This window comes from Homo sapiens, chromosome 8 (genome assembly GCF_000001405.40).
Source record: "Homo sapiens chromosome 8, GRCh38.p14 Primary Assembly".
In the NCBI taxonomy this organism is placed as follows: Eukaryota; Metazoa; Chordata; class Mammalia; order Primates; family Hominidae; genus Homo; species Homo sapiens.
In genome coordinates, this window is record NC_000008.11 from 41,862,673 (window position 1) to 41,882,417 (window position 19,745).

General features: G+C 50.9%; 1 protein-coding gene across 1 annotated transcript in view, besides 1 other annotated feature; it reads right to left on the reverse strand.

The window, feature by feature from the left end:
- Positions 1-19,745, reverse strand: part of ANK1 (ankyrin 1) — a 243,517-nt gene that overhangs the window by 209,448 nt on the left and 14,324 nt on the right. The window lies entirely within an intron of this gene.
- Positions 13,841-14,053: a silencer, noted in NCBI's record as "fragment chr8:41734031-41734243 (GRCh37/hg19 assembly coordinates)". NCBI's record gives its function as "represses an EF-1alpha promoter that drives an FKBP-Casp9 reporter gene in an ReSE screen in HepG2 liver carcinoma cells {active_cell/tissue: HepG2}" and the evidence as "EXISTENCE:reporter gene assay evidence [ECO:0000049][PMID:32094911]".

The following is a 19,745-nucleotide window of genomic DNA, read 5'->3' on the forward strand; positions in this document are numbered from 1 at the left end:
AAAAAAAGGGAAAAACTAAACAAGTTCAAAAGGGGAAAAAAGAAAAACCACTGCAGGCCAGGTGCGGTGGCTCACACCTGTAATCCCAGCACTTTGAGAGGCTGAGGCAGGAGGATCACTTGAGGCCAGGAGTTCAGGACCAGCCTGGGCAACATGGCAAGACCCCTGTCTCTATAAAAAATTCTTTAAAAATTGGCTGGGTGGTGGCATGCACCAATAGTCCCAGGTATTCAGGAGGCTGAGGTAGGAGGATTGCTTGAGCCCAGGAGTTCCAGGCTGCAGTGAGCCATGATCGCACCACTGCACTCCAGCCTAGGTGACAGAGAAAGACCCTGTCTCTAAAAATAAAAAATAAAAAGTTTGACATAAAGAATTTTTTTGCAGTGGATTAAAAAGAGTATTATAGCCGGGCGCGGTGGCTCATGCCTGTAATCCCAGCACTTTGGGAGGCGGAGGCAGGCGGATCACGAGGTCAGGAGATTGAGACCATCCTGGCTAACACGGTGAAACCCCATCTCTACTAAAAATACAAAAAAATTAGCTGGGCGTTGTGGCGGGCGCCTGTAGTCCCAGCTACTCGGGAGGCTGAGGCAGGAGAATGGCGTGAACCCAGGAGGCAGAGTTTGCAGTGAGCCGAGATCGCACCACTGCACTCTAGCCTGGGCAATATAGCAAGACTCCATCTCATTAAAAAAAAAGAAAAAAAGTGTATTATAAGGAAATTCATTTTCATTATAGAGAAATTAGAAGGCACATTCAACAGAGAAAAATAAAAGGAAAATCACCATAATCTCACCAGCTAAAGGTAATTTCAAAACTGTGTGTACCTTGGCTGTTGTCTTGCTAGGCATCTTTGGCATGTAAATATTTTCTGGCTAAAATGAAGCCATATGCTTGGTAACTTACTTTCTCACTTATTAGTAGTATACAATAAACTCTAGCATTGTTGCTTTGGGTTGGTTAAAGCCTAAGCTGGTTGGTGGATAAACCTTCTGCACATCACCCTTGCTGGTGAGGTATTATGAATCCCATTTTGCAGAGGGAGAAACTGAGGCCGAGAAAGCTGTCTCACTAATGTCATACAAGTTGAAAGAGGTTCTGTGCTGGGGCCGGGAACAGAGGCTCCCCTACCTCCCACAATAGCGAATGTGGTTTCTTTCAGGCAGTTGCCACGCATCCAGGGGCTTACCATGCTCTAAGGGCCAGTTTGTGGGTTCTTATTCTATGAAACAGGGGCAATGAATGAGGCTGCTGCACGTTCTGCGCTTTTGTTAATTCAAGGGTACCACTGGCCGGGCATGGTGGCTCACACCTGTAATCCCAGCACTTTGGGAGGCCGAGGCGGGTGGATCACGAGGTCAGGAGATCGAGATCCAGAGCATCCTGGCTAGCACGGTGAAACCCCGTCTCTACTAAAAATACAAAAAATTAGCCAGGCATGGCGGCAGGTGCCTGTAGTCCTAGCTACTCAGGAGGCTGAGGCAGAAGAATGGCATGAACCTGGGAGGTGGAGCTTGTAGTGAGCCGAGATCACGCCACTGCACTCCAGCCTGGGTGACAGAGTGAGACTCTGTCTCAAAAAAAAAAAAAAAAAAGGGTACCATTTCCTCCAAGAGGCCACATCAAATGGAAAATTATTTCTCCCATTGGGTTATATGTGAAAACTCTATAAGAATGTTTCTTTATTTAAATGCCTGGGAGACTCTTTTGATTGGCCGGTGGGATGTGGACAATCCCCTGAGCAGAGGCGAGCCAGCCTGTGAGTGCACCTCCTGCCCACCACGAGAGCTGCTGGCCGCGTGCTGAGTCCTCCCCACTCTCCCTCATCCCTGGCTCCTCCTTGCACATGAGATCCCCTCAACTGATAGCGCAGAATTTACTGACTGGTAACCAAACTCGGCTTCCTTGTAAACAACAGCAAACCACAGCTGCTTCTGCCAGTTACTGCATCATAAATAAAATAAATGGAAGAATTGGAGGGAAATTAAGCCCTGCAGAGAGATGAGTGCTTAGAGGGTGAGGCAGACGGGGAAAGGATAATTCAGACCCCTTACCAACCTAACCGTCGTCACTCATGGAACCACGGCTGAGTGGGTATGCGGAGCATCCAGAACCGAAGAAACTGATCGCCCCTCCCTCGGCTCCCTGACCAAAGCCATGTCCACATGAAGCCAAACACCTGGATGTTTAGAAAGCATATCTTCATAAGCATTTCACAGCCCAAACAACTCAGCTTCTCCTCTCAGGGGAGGTCTGTCTCAGGCTCAGAGCACTGACCAACCAGATCACACATGGCAAGAGGGGACCAGCCACAAACACGGCAACCCCTTCCAGAAGCCTTGAGGCTCCAGAAGGGGATCACCCCCATTCCTACCAGTCGCAAGGTGGTAGGGTCTGCGAGCATCCAGTGTGTGGCGCTGCACACACCCTCTGAGCTGAGGCCTCCCTGGCCACCCAAGGGCTCCAAGAGCTTGGGGTCCATGAGCTCCCACTGACTCACCCATCTCGCGAATTGGGATTCATGAGCACACGGCTGAGGAGGGACTTGAAACAAGTGTTTAAAGCTCATGGTCTCCTTGAAGCAGCACATTTTCAGGAACTGCATTTGCTGAGCCGGGCCTTCCTCCCATTTCTGTTCCTAGCAAGGTGTCCGGCTCCCACAGGAGACTCAGCAGCTCTCAGATGAACACACAGCTCAATGAACATGTGGGTGCCCACCATGCCTAACACAGGACTGAACTCACAGCTGGGGCTCAGTAGATACTGTGTGGGTGAGGAAGGAATGGCTTCCTCACACCCACTCTGTGCTCCGAGGCCTCCCAGATCTGCATCTCCAGCCCAGCCCTCCTCCAAATTCACGGGTCCCACTGGCTCAGGGCAGATGGCCCTGTGGCACCTGAAGCTGCACACGTGTGAATTGGAGCTGCTAACTCCCTCCCCTCCTCTGATTCTCTCCCCTCCTTTCCACACAATGCACATGCCACCATGCACTCAGCCAGCCTCACCAGGACCTGGGAGTCAGCCTAGATTCTTCCCTCTCCCTCCTCCCCCCAGCAGTCCCAGGTAGGGCCTCTGGAAGGTTCAGTCCGCTTCTTCCCATCCTCCTCCCACTGCTTTCCTGATTTTCCCCCAGGACTCGCCTCCTAATCGCCTCCATCCCCTCATCACCACTCTCTCTCTCTCCCCTATCCCTGCACCAGTCTTCAAAGCCACTATCCACAGTAATCTCAGAAAATCTCTCCAAGGTATGAATGTGACAGTGCCACTCCAATGCATTCCACACTCAATGGGTCTGCAGTGCCCCTGCTAACCCAGAGCTCCATGTCCAACTCTCGCCTCTCCACCATGACACTGGCCTCCGCCAGACCCTAGAGGAACTATGCACATACCCTTCAGTGGGGACGTATGGAGCCTGCCCTCCCTTCTCTTGGGGCCACCAGGGAGAACTTGCTTCCTCTTTTCTCTTAGGATATCATGCCTTCACCCTTTCCCAAAGGTAATTTTCTTTCTTTTTTTGGAGTGGGTGGTGGTTACAGGGACAGGGTCTTACTCTGTTACCCATGCTGAAGTGCAATGGCGTGATCACAGCTCATTGCGGCCTTGATCACCTGGGCTCAAGCGATTCTCCTATCTCGACTTCCCGGGTAGCTGAGACCACAGGTGTACACCACCAAACCTGGCTGATTTTATTTTTTATTTTTTGTAGAGACAGGGTCCCACTGTGTTGCCCAGGCTGGTCTTGAATTCCTGGCCTCAAGTAATCCTCCTGCCTTGGCCTCCCAAAGTGCTGAGATGACAGGCGTGAGCCACTGTGCCTGGATGCCTTAACCATTTTTAAGTGTACGGTTCAGGGACATTAAGTACATTCACATTGCTGTGCTACCATTACCACCATCCAGCCACAGAACTCTTTTCATCTTGCAAAGTGAAACTCTGTACCCTTTAAACACTAACTTCCCATTGCTTTCTCCCACTGGAAATCACTGTTCTACTTTCTGTCTCTGTGCATTTCACTACTCTAGGAATCGTACAGAGTTTGTCCTTTTGTGACTGGCTTATTTCACTCAGCACATCGTCCTCAAGGTTCACCCATGTGGCAGGTGTAGCAGTGTCCTTCCTGCTATTTAAGGCTGAATAACACTCCATGGTATGTATACGCTGCATTTTCTTTATCCACTCACCCATCAATGGACACTTGGATTGCTTCCACCTTTTGGCTGTTGTTAATAAGTCTGCAGCGAACATGGGTGTACAAATATCTGTTTGGGTCCCTGCTTTCAATTCCTTTGGATATATACCCAGAAATGGAATTGCTGGATCATATGGTGATTCTATTTTTAATTTTTTGAGGAACCTCCCTACAGTGTTCCATCTACCCTAGTATAAATTTTACATCCATCTGACCAGTTGGTTCTTAGTGTGGGGAGGTACAGACCCCAACGCTGGGAGAAGCAGCGAAGGTGCAAGTTGCTAGGACTCCAGTAGGAGGCCCTAGAAAGAGTCCTCTCAGGACAAGACCCCAAGAAGGATGAGTGTCAGTCCAGCACCCCAATCTCTGATGATGCCGCTTTTCCTCTCGTCTTGTGATGGGCTTGTTTCAGAGTGGAAGGGGTGAAACTGAGAGGCGGATGCAAAGTTCTGCAAAAGGAGGCAACATCAGCTCTCAAACAAGACACTCATGAGCCAAAGATGCTCATGCCCTGCTTCTCACAGTGCCTGGTTAATACCAAAATAATACAAATCTCCTAAAATGCACAAAATCTCTTAAAATGCCTAAGAAATGAAGCTTCTGCACAGAAGGGTCCTGGACCTGATAACAGCCCCAAGTGATGTCCACTCCAGCCACAGCAAATGACTCCCAGAGCTCAAGAGTCAAGCCCTGTTCCCTGCAGGCCTTTTCCCATGCCATTCCCTCTGCCCACCACATCCTTCCACCCGGCAGCACCCATGCCACACACACACCATCAGGCTAGGTGATACCCTCCTTTTTGCTTGAGCAGATCACACATCTCCATCAAGTCATGGCTTGGGTTTCTTCCCCATCACCCCTCTAAGCTGTCAGCTGTCTCCCCCACTGAAATGACAGTGTTCCTCATCTCTGTATCCCCAATACCTAGCACAGCACAAGGCACACAGTCAAAGCTCTGCAAATATTTTTGCACAGTTAAATAATATTTCTAAAGCAGGTGTTTGTTTGTTTGTTTTGAGACAGATTCTCTCTCTGTCGTCCAGGCTGGAGTACAGCGGTGCAATCTCAGCTCACTGCAACCTCCACCTCCCAGGTTCAAGCGATTCTCGTGCCTCAGCCTCCCAAGTAGCTGGGATTACAGGCGCCTGCCACCAACCCAGCTAATTTTTGTATTTTTAGTAAAGGCTGGGTTTCACCATGTTGGCCAAGCTGGTCTTGGACTCCTGACTTCAGGTGATCCACCAGCCTTGGCCTCCCGAAGTGCTGGAATTACAGGCATGAGCCATTGTACCCAGCCTGAAGCAGGTTTTAATGATAAAAGCATGATAACAGTATTAAGACAGGGTTTCTCAACCTCAGCACTATTGGGGCCATTTGGGGCCACATAATTCCTTGCTGTAGGGGGCCATCCTGCAAATTGAAGGGTGTTCGGTATCTCTGGCCTCTACCTACTAGGTGCTGGTTGCACCCTTCCTCCCAATTATGATACCTTACATGTTTCTAGAGTTTGCCAAATGTCCCCTGGGGCGGTGGGGAAGGGCAAAACCATTCCCAGTTCAGAACCACTGCACCAAGATGATGAGCAATTATTCAGGCGTGGTTTGTCCTCTCAGAGACCTTTTAAAAGTCCAAGGCCTAAATGCAGCTTCCAGACAATGTACGAAATCTCATCAGAAATGTTCACGGCATTTATTCTCATTTTGTAAATGATTTATAACTTTATATATCTTGTGAATAATTAAGAAATGTGCCCGGGAACCTCTTCCAGCAGATCTTCTGGTAGGAATCTTAAATCATGTGCCATAAGCTATCGACCCTGGTCTGATACATTATTTACAAAGCTCACTAAAGCCTGGGATGAGGAATCACTGCATCAAAACTATTCCCTTCAAAATCTTTTTTAAAAGAGCTTAGAAATTTTCAGAGGGGCGTGCAGAGAGCAAAGTTCCTGGAACAAATTTTATAACAGACACTCGAACTTTCGGATGGGAGACACTGCACCCAAGGCCTATTTAACAAAAGCAAAGGGAATGAAAAAGATGAGGCTCAGACGGGGAGAAGGAATGCGAACACCCAGGGTTCCAGCACCCAGCTAAAGCATGTCCTGATCATAAAGGGGAATATTTACGTAAAACCATTTCCTATTCGTTGGCAAGATTAAATGGGATGAGGAAAGCAAAGCACAGCCCTGATTCTGATGAGAAACTCAATAAACAATGGTCTTCTTCTCTAGGTGACTCTTTCTGGGCTAAGAAAGGAGGAAAAGATCAAAATCCAGAGTGGGAGGTGTCAGAAGACGAATTGTCCCTAATCCCTAAAACTGCGTGGTTGGACCCGATGGTCCCTTCCTTTCCATCTCTGATGTTCTGACTCAGGACTGGCAGGAGCCCGTTGCCCTCCTCAGGGTCTCAGGCAGGGAAGAGAGTGCTCCTTGAACTTCACTGGACAGAAGAATCATCAGGGATCTTGCTTAAAAATGCAGATTTGAGGACCCCATCCTCTGAGATCTTAATTCAGTCATTCTGAGGCACAACCCAGAGGCTGCATTTTAAAAGATGGGACCTGAAAATTAGCCTGGCGTGGTGGCTCTCGCCTGTTGTCCCAGGTACTTGGGAGGCTGAGGCAGGAGGACAGCTTGAGCCTGGGAGGCAGAGGCTGCAGTGAGCCATGATCGTACCACTGCATTCCAGCCTGGGTGACAGAGCGAGACCATCTAAAATTTAAAAAAAAGAAAGGAAAACCTGGGCCTTGAACACTGACCAGGGAAGACCAGGACCAGGACTGTGCTGAAAAATGCTGCCTTGTAGGAAAAGCACACTGTGAGAACTCACAAAGGCCTGTGCCTGCCGAGGCCTGGGGGTGCTTCTGGACATCCGCATGCTCCATAGGCCACGTCAGCTGACACCAGACTGCAATTTGCTGACCCAGGTTATAGGAAAAGCTGATGTTCAGTCAAAATGGTAACTGGGGCTTGCTTATATTTTCAATATTGTTACACATCCAAAAGCTCAATTATTTTGCAATAATGTTGGACTCTGAGTGCAATAAGTCTCAAACTTTAGTGCACAGATGACTTACTAAGAAGATCCCAAGAAGAAAGGATCTAAGATACAGATTCTTGAGTCCTACCCCTGGAGAATCCAATTCAGCAGGCTGAGAGGGCAGGCTCTGACATTTTAACCAGTGCCCTAGAGGCCTAAAACCATTTTAGGGATTCAGGCGGTTCAAGGACCCCTCTGCAAGTAACACCACCAACAGCCCTACCAACAGAGGGCCCCACCTCTGTGCCCCGAATGAAATGAAATGAGGAGGAGGCTGAGAGATCCAGCAGAGAACGCCAGTCTTTACCAAATGCCCGAGATTATGCATGTGAAGGTGAGGAGGATAAGCATGACCAGCCTAAGTTTTTGCTTAAAAAAAAAAAGAGGTTTCAATGGGCACAGTCTTTTTATGCAAGTCCACCCTCAGTCCCTTCTGAAAACAAGGCCGAGTCACCTTCTCCATCATTCACTCGTGTTCATTCATTCAGACGACATGCTCTGAGCTCTACTCATGACTCACACCCCAAGCAAGGTTCCAGGGACATGAGCGTCCCTCCATCCTAAAGCACTCCCTGAGCCTCAGCCCCTGTGACTGGGGATGTTTCACCCCACAATATCAAGGGGACTCTCTAAGCTCTAGCCCCATGGATCACGGAAGGAGCTGTATGAGAAATGTGAGGTTACTGGGCAAAGCTGCCAGAGGTCTGAGAACGTGTGGCCGGCGTGAGGGAACATTTGCTGGATGATGGGCCAAGGGAGGCCAACAAAATAAATGTTAGCCCACTCAAAGCTGAGCTGGAAGAGGCTGGCAGAAAGGGTGGGCCCGGCACACACGTTAGCCGAGTCCCTGGCTTTAGCTGACCAAGGTTTTGTCCTTGTTGGAGGCACTCTGGCCATGGCACCTGGGCTCCGCTTGGCACAGGAGCATGTGGACACGTGGTGCTGCTGGGGGTCATGGGTCGGAGCCTCTGCTTGGCGAACACTCCTTCTGGAATCAAGGATGAGCTGCTCCCCACCCCTCCTGGCTCTCGAATGGGCACGGGGACTGTCTGCCCACCTCCCATCCTGTTCTCTCAACAACCTCAACTCATGCTCCAGCAAGCCCTTTCCTCAGGGCTGGCCCTCTCTGCAGCCTCCGGGTCCCATGGAGCATGTCTATCTGCCCCTCACGGGCCACACCTTTGACTCTAAGAGGCCTCTGCTACTATGACCCACACCCCAGGAGCTTCTGGAGGGAACACTGCACAGGTCCAGGGTGCCTTCCCATCGCCCCTGCATTGTTCTCTGACGCATTTATGAGGCTGCATCTTCTCTCTCCCACTGACTGGAAGCTGCTGAAGGGTGGGGCTACCAATGGGCCTCCTAACCTCCGCAGAATCGAGGCAGCTGCTGGAGCTATAGTAGATGCTGTTTATTTATGTTTTAGAGACAGGGTCGCTGTGTCACCCAGGCTGGAGGGCAGCAGCATGATCACAGCTCACTGCAGCGTCAAACTCCTGGGTTCAAGCCATCCTCCCATCTCAGCCTTCCAAAGTGCCAGGATTGCAGATGTGAGCCACCACGTCCGGCCTATGGTGTCTTTATAAAAAGGGGAAATGCAGACACAGAGGCAGATGCAGGGAGAGCACCATACGAAGAAGATCGGGGGGCGATGTTTCCACCAGCCAAGAAGTGCAAAAGATTGCCCACAGACCACCAGGAGCCAGGAGAGGGGCCTGGACATGTGCTCTCCCACAGTCCACCAAAGGAGCCGACCCTGCTGACACCTTGTTCTTGGGCTTCCAGCCTCCATGAGAGGGAGACAATAAATGTCTGCTGGTCAAGGCACCCAGTCTGTGGGACTTTGTTATGCCAGCCCTAGCAAGCTAAGACGCCATGCATCTCAGCTCTGATAGAAAACCTGCGTGTGAAATACTTGAAATTCCACAGCAGTGGTAGCTGCTGCAGAGCAGAGGGCAAGGGCTTGCTTGCTCTGAACCCACCCAGCACAAGCAGACCTGAAAGCCCCTCCCAGGGATCTTGGCTGGAATGGAGCCCCCGGGATGGGGGAAGGGAGGGTCCGGGCCAGGCACCCACACTCCAGATGACAAGGCCGCAGCAGCCCTGGATGAGTTTATTATTTATTAGCTGCTGTCCTCACTTTGCTCAGTCTAACCCACTTCAGAGAGTGTTTAATATTTCAGAAACAGACGAGCCAGCATTGCCCAAGCTGATTCGTGGTCTTAGTCACACAAAACGCTTCCTCCAAAAGGGTGCTGCAAGATGACTTCTCATCTTGTGCAGAGGAGAGGAGCCGACCCCCTGTAGGCCTCAGCTCCCAAGTGGAGCTTAACTACAGCCGAAGAGCAGCGTCCCCACAGGTAAGGGGACTGAGTCCCAGTGAGCGTACACAGCACCCTCTGTCCAGCCGCCCACCCCAGGGCTGGATGTGCTCCACTTCCTGCCGGGCCCTAAGGCGAGGCCTCTGTGCAGCTATCCCATTAAATCCCCCAGTGCTGCTCTTTCCTCACTTCAGAGTCCAAAGAGTGCCAGGAGCCACAGAAGCAGTGCAGTGGAAGCCGGGGTTCGAATCTAGCCCCAATTCCAGACCCCCAGCTTCTCCTTACTAACTAAGCCACATTTCTGGAAGGTCATGCCCAGTGAAGGTGGCAGTGAGGGCAGAAGCCCCATGTCAGAGGCCTTGGAGCCGTGGGGAGCGCGTCCAGCCGCAGATGCATTGCCAGCTTCCCTAGGATGTGCCCCAATCGGTGAGTAGGGGGTGCTCACCTTACAATTCTCAGCCTGGATTACACCTTAAGGTTTAAAACAAGCTAAGAGGAGATACCTTCAGAAAGACTCAGTAACACCTTGGAAAGACAGAGGCCTGCCCAGGTCTCTCCCTGGAGTGACCTGTAGGAGGTCTGCTGGGGACCCTTCCAACCACACCCAAAGCCTCAGAGCACAGCCGCCCTCGCGAGCCACCCCACATCTGGCTTCCCACTGGGGAGTCTGTAGGGTCCAGGTCTCTGTTGACAAAGGCAGAGATTTTGAGGCAGAACAATGGCTAACATAATTTATAAAAACACAATATTAAATCCTCAATCCTCTTCAACGGAAAAGAAGTCTCTCCTGTGGGCACGCTGCAGAGGGGAAGGCTGAAGCCAGCCATGCTGAACGAGCCGTTCTCGTCTCCTGCTCATTCCACCTGAGCTCTCTCCCCATTACCGTTTATTTTCTTTGCAAAAAAGAAAAAAGTCACTATTCTATTTAAAAGATTTGATGGATTTAGTCTATAAAGAAACTACATAAAGTGACTACATTTTCTTCCCGATTGCCTCGAACCTTCATGCGATGTCATTATCTCTGTGTTTTGGGGACCTCCCCATAAGAATGGTTTTGAAGTCATATTTGGTCCATCACATCCTGACAGTGCCGCTTTCTCTTAGGGATGTCTCCTTCCCAGGCCTCACTTTCCTCACTTGCACACTGAAGATGGTGATGTTAGCATTGGTGAATGAGTTCCAACAGGCACATCCCATTCACAATCTCATTTAATCCTCACAATAAGCCTCCAAGTCACCCTATTATTAATCTTATCCCCATTTTGCAGACAAGAAACTGAGACTGAAAAGGGTTAACCAGGCTGTGGTTACAAGTGGTGGAGCCAGGAGTTGCAACCAAGCTAGGCTAGTCCAAATCCTCACTGGAATCACGATGCCTCCATAAGGATAAAATTAAACAGCACAGACCAGAGCCAAGCCCTCTGTAAGCTGGCACGTGTCAGGCTAAGGCTCACTGGTATTTTCAGGGGTCAGCAGGGGCTCCTGCCATATTGCACAGCTGTGGAGTGGAGCCTGGGCCTTGCCGGCTTCACAGCACTGGACCTCAGAGACCTTGGATGCTGCAGCCCCAGCTTCGCTACCCTGAGCACCTTGTGCCTTTGTTGGGGAAACCTGGTCACCAGCATGACTGCCTTATACGTTGAACCAAGGCTGGCAAACCTGTGGCCTTGGCTGGACAAGTTACTCCAGGAGCCAAACAGACCCAGCCAAGCTCAAACCAACACCCTCCCCCTACACACACAAACGCACATGCACACACAATGCACACATGCAGGCACACACAAGCATGCACACAGGTACACACACAAGCACACATGCACACACAGACACAAACACACGGGCTCCTAAGTACTAAGAGACCTGCGGACACACAACAGGGAAGGCTGGGGCCTTGAAAGGCAACAGTTCAGATGTTTGGATGTCCCGCAGGTAGGTAGGGAGTAGGGCAGCCGCACTTAGGGATGGACCAGGTATGGTGCCTGCACCCTGAACTGTCTCAGGGACACCCTTGTTGGACTGCAGCTACAACAAAAATAGAGCCTCCTATAGCCGCCTTCAGAGCAAGGCCCACAGCCACTAATCTGAAAGGCCTCGATTTCAGATCTTATATTTTTTTCTCATATCCATCATAATTGAATTTTGAAAAGTTGCACTGGGCCCAGGAAAAAGGCAGTGAGTTGGGAGTGAGAACCATTTAGCAAAGCACTCTTTTCTTAAAGTCTTGGCTGCACTTTCGGGTCGCCTGCCCGCAGCCCCCAACCTCCTCCACCCCATCCCCGCCCCGCAGGCCCTGCAATGACAGGTAAGCATCCACTTCTTTCAGAGTGTGTCGGAGAGCAGGGCATGGGGTGGAGATGAGTTCATTCCATCTTGCTGTCTTCCTCCAGACAAGGTGTGCTAACAAGGAGGTGACCGGAGTCCTTGTGGCCCTAGCTGATCTGTCACTAGGAAAGCCCTAGTCTGCCTCTGTCACAGCAGCCCAGCTCTTCAGCACTGGCTAAGAAAAAACATGACAACTGAGAATTGTGCTTTCTGGGTTCTGGCCTCCTTGTCTCCCACTGCTTCTCCTTCATGGTCATTCTTTGACTCTCAGTGAGTTCCTGCTTTTGATCTTCCCATTCCAAAGTTGGAAAAATACCCAAGGTCATTTCCACCATCACGACTGACCCTCCACTGAGCAACTCCTCCTGGCACTTGCAATATAACCCCACGGTCTGACTATGGAACAAAATGTGCTGTCCCCGCTGCAGCACCCTCAGGAGAGACTGGGTGGCAGTCTGTGGTGGTCCAGAGAGGACGGGCCCAGCAGGACCACCTGTCTCGGTCCATATATGGGGCTGGGATGGGAGAGGGGAGGGAGCAGAGCTGAGCTGGAAAGGGTACGGGATGACCGGGTTCCCCTCTTCCTGCCCTTTCTCTTCCTGAACTCCAAGCCCTCCTGTCCTGTTCCTCCAAGTCCTGGTCACCCAGATGCGGGGGCTCCTGCACCTCTTGTCCCCCACAGGAGACCCTAAAGACTCTGCAGCTTCTTGGCACCGGGAGCCAGCAGCACCAGGTCCCAGTTTAGAGGCTGGCAGCAGCAGGCATGTTGAAGAACTGGAGGCAGGAGGAGGCAGGGGATCAGTGCAAAGAATGGGTCAGCATGGATGGAGGCGGGTATACCCAACACTGGGCCTCCACAAGTTCTTGAGAAAGTCACCACCGGCCTGCCAAGAGGAGCTACAAGGGACTCTCCCAGGTGATACCTGATGGAACCTGGGCTTGACCCTAGATCCATCCAACTCCAAACTACTGGCTCTTCCCAGTGGGCAGCCCAACTCCAATACCAAGGCTCGGCAGACAGGCACATCTGTGCAGTATTAAGTGGCTGCTTCCCATGGCCATTCGTTTCTCCTCCTGTGCCAGGGATGCGTGAGTGATGATGGAATGAATCTGGGTTAGCCGGTCCCTCTTCCCAAGCAGCTGGGAAGCCTCCTTGCTGCTCGTAGAAGAACACGCTTTGCAGGGGGAGGACAAACTCCCACTTAACACCACTGCACTGTGGGCGCCATTTTTCCCCGGACAGCCACATCTTGCTTTTTTCCTCTTGGCAGTGTTTTGTAGATGATCTAGTGTTACACGGCGCAGGGACTGGGAAGCAGCCGGCACGAGAAAGGAACCTGAGCACACCCACTTTGCCTTCATTTCTCCGGCTGCATCCGAGGCTCCCCAGAGGGGCCGGCGCGCGCCCGGGCGCACACTCGCACACCTGCCCGCGCGCACACACCCGCGCCTGGCCCCGCGCGCGCACGTCCCGCGACCTCGCAGGTTCGCGGCCCGCAACCGGCAGGGCAGGAGCTTCCACCAATCCCCTCGCCTCACGCCTCCTGCCCAAATATAGAAACCGACTTCCTTGTCCTAGAGCTCGGAGCGGCGGCCGCCCTCCCTCGCTGGGCTCCCGAGGCGGCGCTCCCCAGGCGGGCGCGGGGACGGCCCTGTCTGGCCTCACCAGCACGTGGGGCGCTGCCTGCGCTCCAGCCGCGGCACCCTGGCACCCTGGCACCCTGGCACCGACCGCCCGGTCGTCTCTCTCCCGGTCGCGCAGCCCCTCGGCCAGCGGGCCTTGTCCCCACCCAGGTTCTCTGGCCGCGACTCAGCAGCGGCGCCTCGCCCCGGAACAGGCCCCACCCGGAGAGGGGCTGACACTGATCGTGCCCCCTGGGGGCTGGGGCGCATTCAAGGTAACCTTGAAACCTCACAGGCACATGGAGAGGTCAAGGAGGAACTGATGACCTGTCTTACAGATAAGAAAGCCGAGGCTAAGTGAGTAGTCCCAGGTTCGCACAGCCAGTATGTGATACCTAGCCGACCCCAGCCAGGCTTGTCCAAGTCGGAAACGTACGCGCTGTCCTTCACACCTCTAAAGGGCTCTGGTTTCCAGCCTGAAGGCTGGAAAATGCACAAGGAAGGGAATGCCTAAAATCCCCTGACCCGATCCTAATCGCACGTGTCATGTTTATTAAGACAGGGAGATGAAGATGAAAGGTTTGTTGGGGAATGGTAACCCCTCATCTGGCTGCACCACTTTTAACTTTTTGGAGCAGTTCTGCAGACATTATCTCATGTATTCTTACCATGTGTGAGGGGATCAGATGGATTTGGTAGAATTTGTTCGTTTTAATAAAGGCCATTTGATCAATGTAAAGCCAAAAGGGATTTCATGGAAAAACTCATATTTTCAAATTTGCTACTCAGGATAACTTCTGTGACCATCTTCAAAATAAATAAATAAATAAATAAGACTTTATGGGCTGAGCACAGTGGCTCACATCTGTAATCCCAGTGCTTTGGGAGGCCGAGGCGGGAGGATTGCTTGAGGCTGGCAGTTCAAGACCAGACTGGGCCACATAGTGAGACCCAGTCATTAGAAAAAATAATAATTAAAAATATGTGTTATGGAACTTCCACACTGTCATAGAAGGGACCTGGGAAAGAAATCACCATCCCACAGCGCAGGTGAAAAGGGTGGGACCCGCTGGAGAAGCACACATCCTGGTCCAGACCATGGCCTCCTAACTACCAGTCTTATGCTCCAGGCTGGGGAAAGGAGCAGGCTCATGGTGGCCAGCAGGCTGCTGATGGTGGGAGATGTGTGTTGGAGATGCAGACAACAGCCCTCCTTTCCAGCTGAGACCCTGGGCGAGTTGCTGAATTCCTCCAGGGTCTCCACTACACCATCTAGGAAGTGACACTCACAGTGCCCCAGCTGCAAGACTGTGGTGCCGATCCATTATTTTGATGGATATACACTTATGGAGAACCAACTGTGTGCCAAGCACTCCTCCAGATTTTGGAAATCCAGTTTAGGAGACAGAAAAAGCCACTGCTCTCACAGAATTTATTTTTTAGTGGAGGAAGAGAGAGACAGACAATAAAACAGAAATAAATAGGACCATTTCAGATAGTGAAGAAAATGAAACAAAATGATGCGATAGAGCAGGTGGGTGGGAGCCAGGCGGGGGCGAAGTGGTCGCTGGAGAGCAGTCGTCTGGGCAGTCCTCTCTGAGGAAGCGACATCTGAGCTAAGGACAACAAAAAGGAGTAGACTAGCTTCGTTCATGGCTGCAGAGAAGACAGGGACAGCTTGAAGCACAAAGGCCTGAAGACAGAAGCCAGGTAGACGTGCCTGAGGAACAGAGCTAAGGCGAGTAGGGCTGTGGCCGTGTGAGGGAGGACAGGGACAGGAGGTTGGGACCTGGGCAGGAACGCTGGGCACACAGCCTAGCGCCCAGCAGAAGGTCAGTGACTAGGCTATTGCAATTCCTGGAAAACAGTCAACTGAAAGCATGTGCATGAACATTCTGGAAGGCGGCAGAGTCCACAGCGGTACCAGACACCCACTCTTCTCAAACCCATTATGCGACTTACCAAACAATCCCAAATGTCATTGGCAACAATAACCAAAACTAATAGAGAATTGAGTCTGCACCAATTCTGGAGAGTTGGGGTGGCTCTTCCTAGCTACCCTACCGGGAAGACAGTACCCGAAGGTTTACTCTGCATCCAGCCTGGTGCCCCCACCCTGGGCAGGGGACGATCACACCCCTACATCTTCAAGCTCACCTCTGATATATGGATCATCCCCTGCCTGCACAGGGACTAAGTCCAGAGGCAAAGGTGGAAGGAACAGGAGTAGCCGGCTGACCTGGCCTCACCAGAAACCACATGGAAATTACACCTTCAGACAGGTTCAGGGGGAGCTGTTTATAAAAAGAAGCTCCTCTGGACATCCCAGAAGCCATGGTCAAGATCAAATCGCACTCAAGGTTAATTGGATAGAAAAATACAAGTGCTAGCCCATGAAAACGATTTTACAGCCAGGACTGGCTATTTAATTTGCATGGCCCAGGACAAAATGAAAATGTGGAACCCCTCGTTAAAAAGTAATGAGTAATTTTAACACAGAACAGAGCATTGAAACATGCACAGGACCCTTTTAAGGGCAGGACCTCATGCAACTGGACAGGTTGTCCACCGATAAAGCCAGCCTTGCCTACATGTCAAAAAAATAAAAGAGGGGCCAGGCGTGGTGGTTCATGCCTATAATCTCAGCACTTTGGGAGGCCGAGGCAGGCGGATCACTTGAGGTCAGGAGTTTGAGACCAGCCTGGCCAACATGGTGAAACCCCATCTTTACTAAAAACACAAAAATTAGCCAGGCATGGTGGTAGACGCCTGTAATCCCAGCTACTCAGGGAGGCTGAGGCAGGAGAATCGCTTGAACCTGGGAGGTGGAAGTTGCAGTGAGCCGAGATTGCGCCACTGCACTCCAGCCTGGGTGACACAGTGAGACTCAGCCTCAAAAATAAAAAATAAAAATTGAAAAATTAAAAAAAATGCAGGACAATGTGTTTAAAATATAGCCCAGTGGAAGAGAAGCCATAGAGAAATCAGACATGTGTTCCTGTCCCAGCTCTGCCTCTAGAGAGCCGTGACCTGGGGAATGTAAGTTAATCAGTGGGGACCCCAGCTTCCCAGTCCAGAAAATCAGGGATCACCTCCTCGGGGGTTGCTGCCCTCCTGCGTTTGTTGTGAGAGATCGAATGAGATAATGAAGGTGGCATCTAGGTCAGGAGGCATTACACCAATATAAGGGATTACTATTATTCACCAAGACCTGCCAGAGCACCTGGATTTCTCGAGAACATTGACATTCCCCAGCAATTAAGTCAAATTAACATAATTCAAACAAAACATCTAATTTTAGCTATGTGTAACGATTCCCTCTCAACAGAACAGACACTGCTGCCTCTCATTCAAGGAGTGCAATGCCAGAGAGATGTAGGAAGGAGACCAAACAATTCTGCCACAGGCCTTTTACCCAGGCACGCACCAGATTGTTCCTATTTCCACAACTGAAAGAGGTGCCGCTGGACAGATTCTCTTTCATCCAGCCGTCCTGCTGGCCTGGTTCATTGGAGCTTCCCCCGGCGAGTGAGAAGGACCAACAACCAGCGCAGCCCGCTCAGACCTTGGTCAAAGCAACACTCCCCTGGAGTGGGAATCAGAAGCCCCAGGGCTCCTCTCACAGACCAGTCCTATGGCCTCAGTTCTCCTGTCCATAAGAGAGGGGGAATAATGCCTCTTCTGCCTCCCTCTCTCAAAAGATTGTTTAAGGTGTTAATAATGATTATTCCATGTGTCTGCATTTAGTGCAAATTACCAGATTCATTCATTCAACCAACGAGTCGTGGGAATGCAAAGGGAACCAAGGTGCTGCCTCTGTGCAGTCCAGCAAGAACAACAAGCATTTAACCCAGGGGGTGGCAAACTGTACTCAAGGGCCAGGTCTAGCCCGCTGCCCATTTTTTGCATAGCACGGGAGCTGAGAATGATTTTTACATTTTTAAGTGGTTAGGAGAAAGAAGAAAAACATTTTGTAATGCATGAAAATTAAATGAAATTCAAATTTCAGTGTCCATAAATAAAGTTTTATTGGAATATGGCCATGCTCGTTTGTTTGTGTATTGCCTGTGGTTGCTTTCACGCTCCGCCGGCGGAGCTGAGTATTTGCAACAGAGACTGAAATATTTACTGCCAGGTCCTGCACAGTAAAAGTTTGCCAATCTCTGAAGCAAAGCCATGAGTGAGATTATCAGTGTTAATGGAACACGGAAGAGGGAACAATTATTTCTGTTTAATAAAGTTGGGGAAGGCATTCCAGGAGTGATTTTTTTCTTCTGGACTTTAATGCTCAGCTGTGAACCCCGGGAAAGCAGCTGCCCTCACCCCAGGTCTCAGTTTCCTCATTTGCAGGATGAGTAGGTTGTCTTTGAACTAAGGGCCTGTCCCACCGATATGTCCTGCAATACTGCATGTGCCCCCAGGGCCAGTTCTTTGCAGGGGGGCTGGTGTGGGCATCCACCAAACCCCGCAAACACCTGAGCTGCGCGAGGCACACAAAGAGCACTAATTAGGGCACTGGGACGAGGAGCAGTTTGGAATAATCTATCCAGGACACATTTCCTTGCACCAGGTCCCAGAGAAGGCTCAGGCTTCTGCATCCAAACTCAAGCTCCCTGGCAGGCTTCTCCCCCGGCAGAGGCGCCTGGTGGGTCCTGAATAATTTAGCACTCTGCACCAGCAGTGCAGATGGCCACCTCCCATTATCGCAGGCTCTGCACTTTGCTGCCTTACTTGGTAGGGCCAAGGGCCATTTCCAAGTGGAACAAAAGAACAGCATCCCTCTTGTCTTCTCAGAGTTCCTCTCAGCATATTGTGCTCCAAGAGCCATTGCTCATAAGGGCTGGGATTTCTTGCCAGAGTACAGAGAGTTGGGCCTGGAGATCTGGTTCTAGTGCTTGCTTGGCCACTAAAAATAGCTCTGTGATCTGGACAAGCCATTTCCTTTCTCCAGATGGCAGTTTCCTCATGAAGGGGATGGGGTGTGAGATTCACAAGGTCCCTTCCAAGAGGCTGTGTCTTCTAGTCTAGTCCAGACTAGAAGCTGGACTAGAAGCTCTTTGTTCTACATGTGAGAAAACAGAGGCCCAGAGACACACAGTTATTTCCCCAAGGTCACTCAGCCACTTCCGAGAGGCAGAGTCAAGACCAGCAGCTTTAGTTCCTAATGTTCCCATTCTAAGGCACTGCCCATACCCTGGTGTGTGGTATGTACAGATCTATGTCTATGTCTATATCTATATCTATGTCTATGTGTGTCTTTGTCTGTATCTGTATCTATGGGATTGGTTCTGTTTCGGGAATACATGCCTTCTGTACTCAGGGGGTTTGGATGCTAGTACAAGGTGGGGATGCTATTTTATCTTACTGTCAAGGGAACTGGTATATAACATTCCCATCAAGCTCTAGGCTCTGTGTTACATGCTTTCAAAACATTCTTTCTGTTTAGCCTTCTGCCTCTCACTTTTTTCCTCTTAGGTACTTATTTCATTTTATTTAATCCTCACAATCACCCTGGAAGCAGTAAGCCAAGGATGTTAAAATCAGGCGGCTGGGACAAACCCCAGCTCTGGCTCTCATTAGACATGTGACGTGAGCAAGGGACTTCACCTTCCTGAGCCTCCCAAGGTCCTCACCTGTAAAACACCGTTCCCACGCACCTGCCTGGCTTGTGAGGGCCGAGTGGGCTTGAGTGGGGAGCATAGCCAACACAGATGGTCCTTGCCTTCCCTGTCTCCTTTCATGGAGAGAAGATCAGCCACAGGTCACGGGGCCTGGCTCTTTTCCTGCTAGTAGCTGGGTGGGCAGTTGATAGACGAGAAAATGACATGAATTTCAAACCACAAACCCTACATCTGTCACCGCCTGCTTGTTATAAATCGGGACTTTGGAGAGGGACTGTTGAAGGCTTCCCCCCGCCTCTGCCACTGCGCAGTGGTGTGAAATGCACTTAATCTTCCTGAGCCTTAGTTTTCTCCCATGTGAAATGGGAAACATGATACCTGCTTCTCCACAGGGTTGCTGGGAAGATCAATGACATAATGCCCTGGGAAGCGCCTGGTGAGCCACTGAGCTCCATGTAACACCACGGGACACCATCCACACGGTGCAGGCCCCACGCCCTGGGGCTCCTGGAAGCCTGAGTTTCCAGGGTTCATCGCCCCGTACATGCAGCCACAGTAGAGGGTTCCAGCTCAACAGCAGCCCAAACCTGACCATCACCTTCCTGGGGGAGTTCCCTCTCTCCTCTCC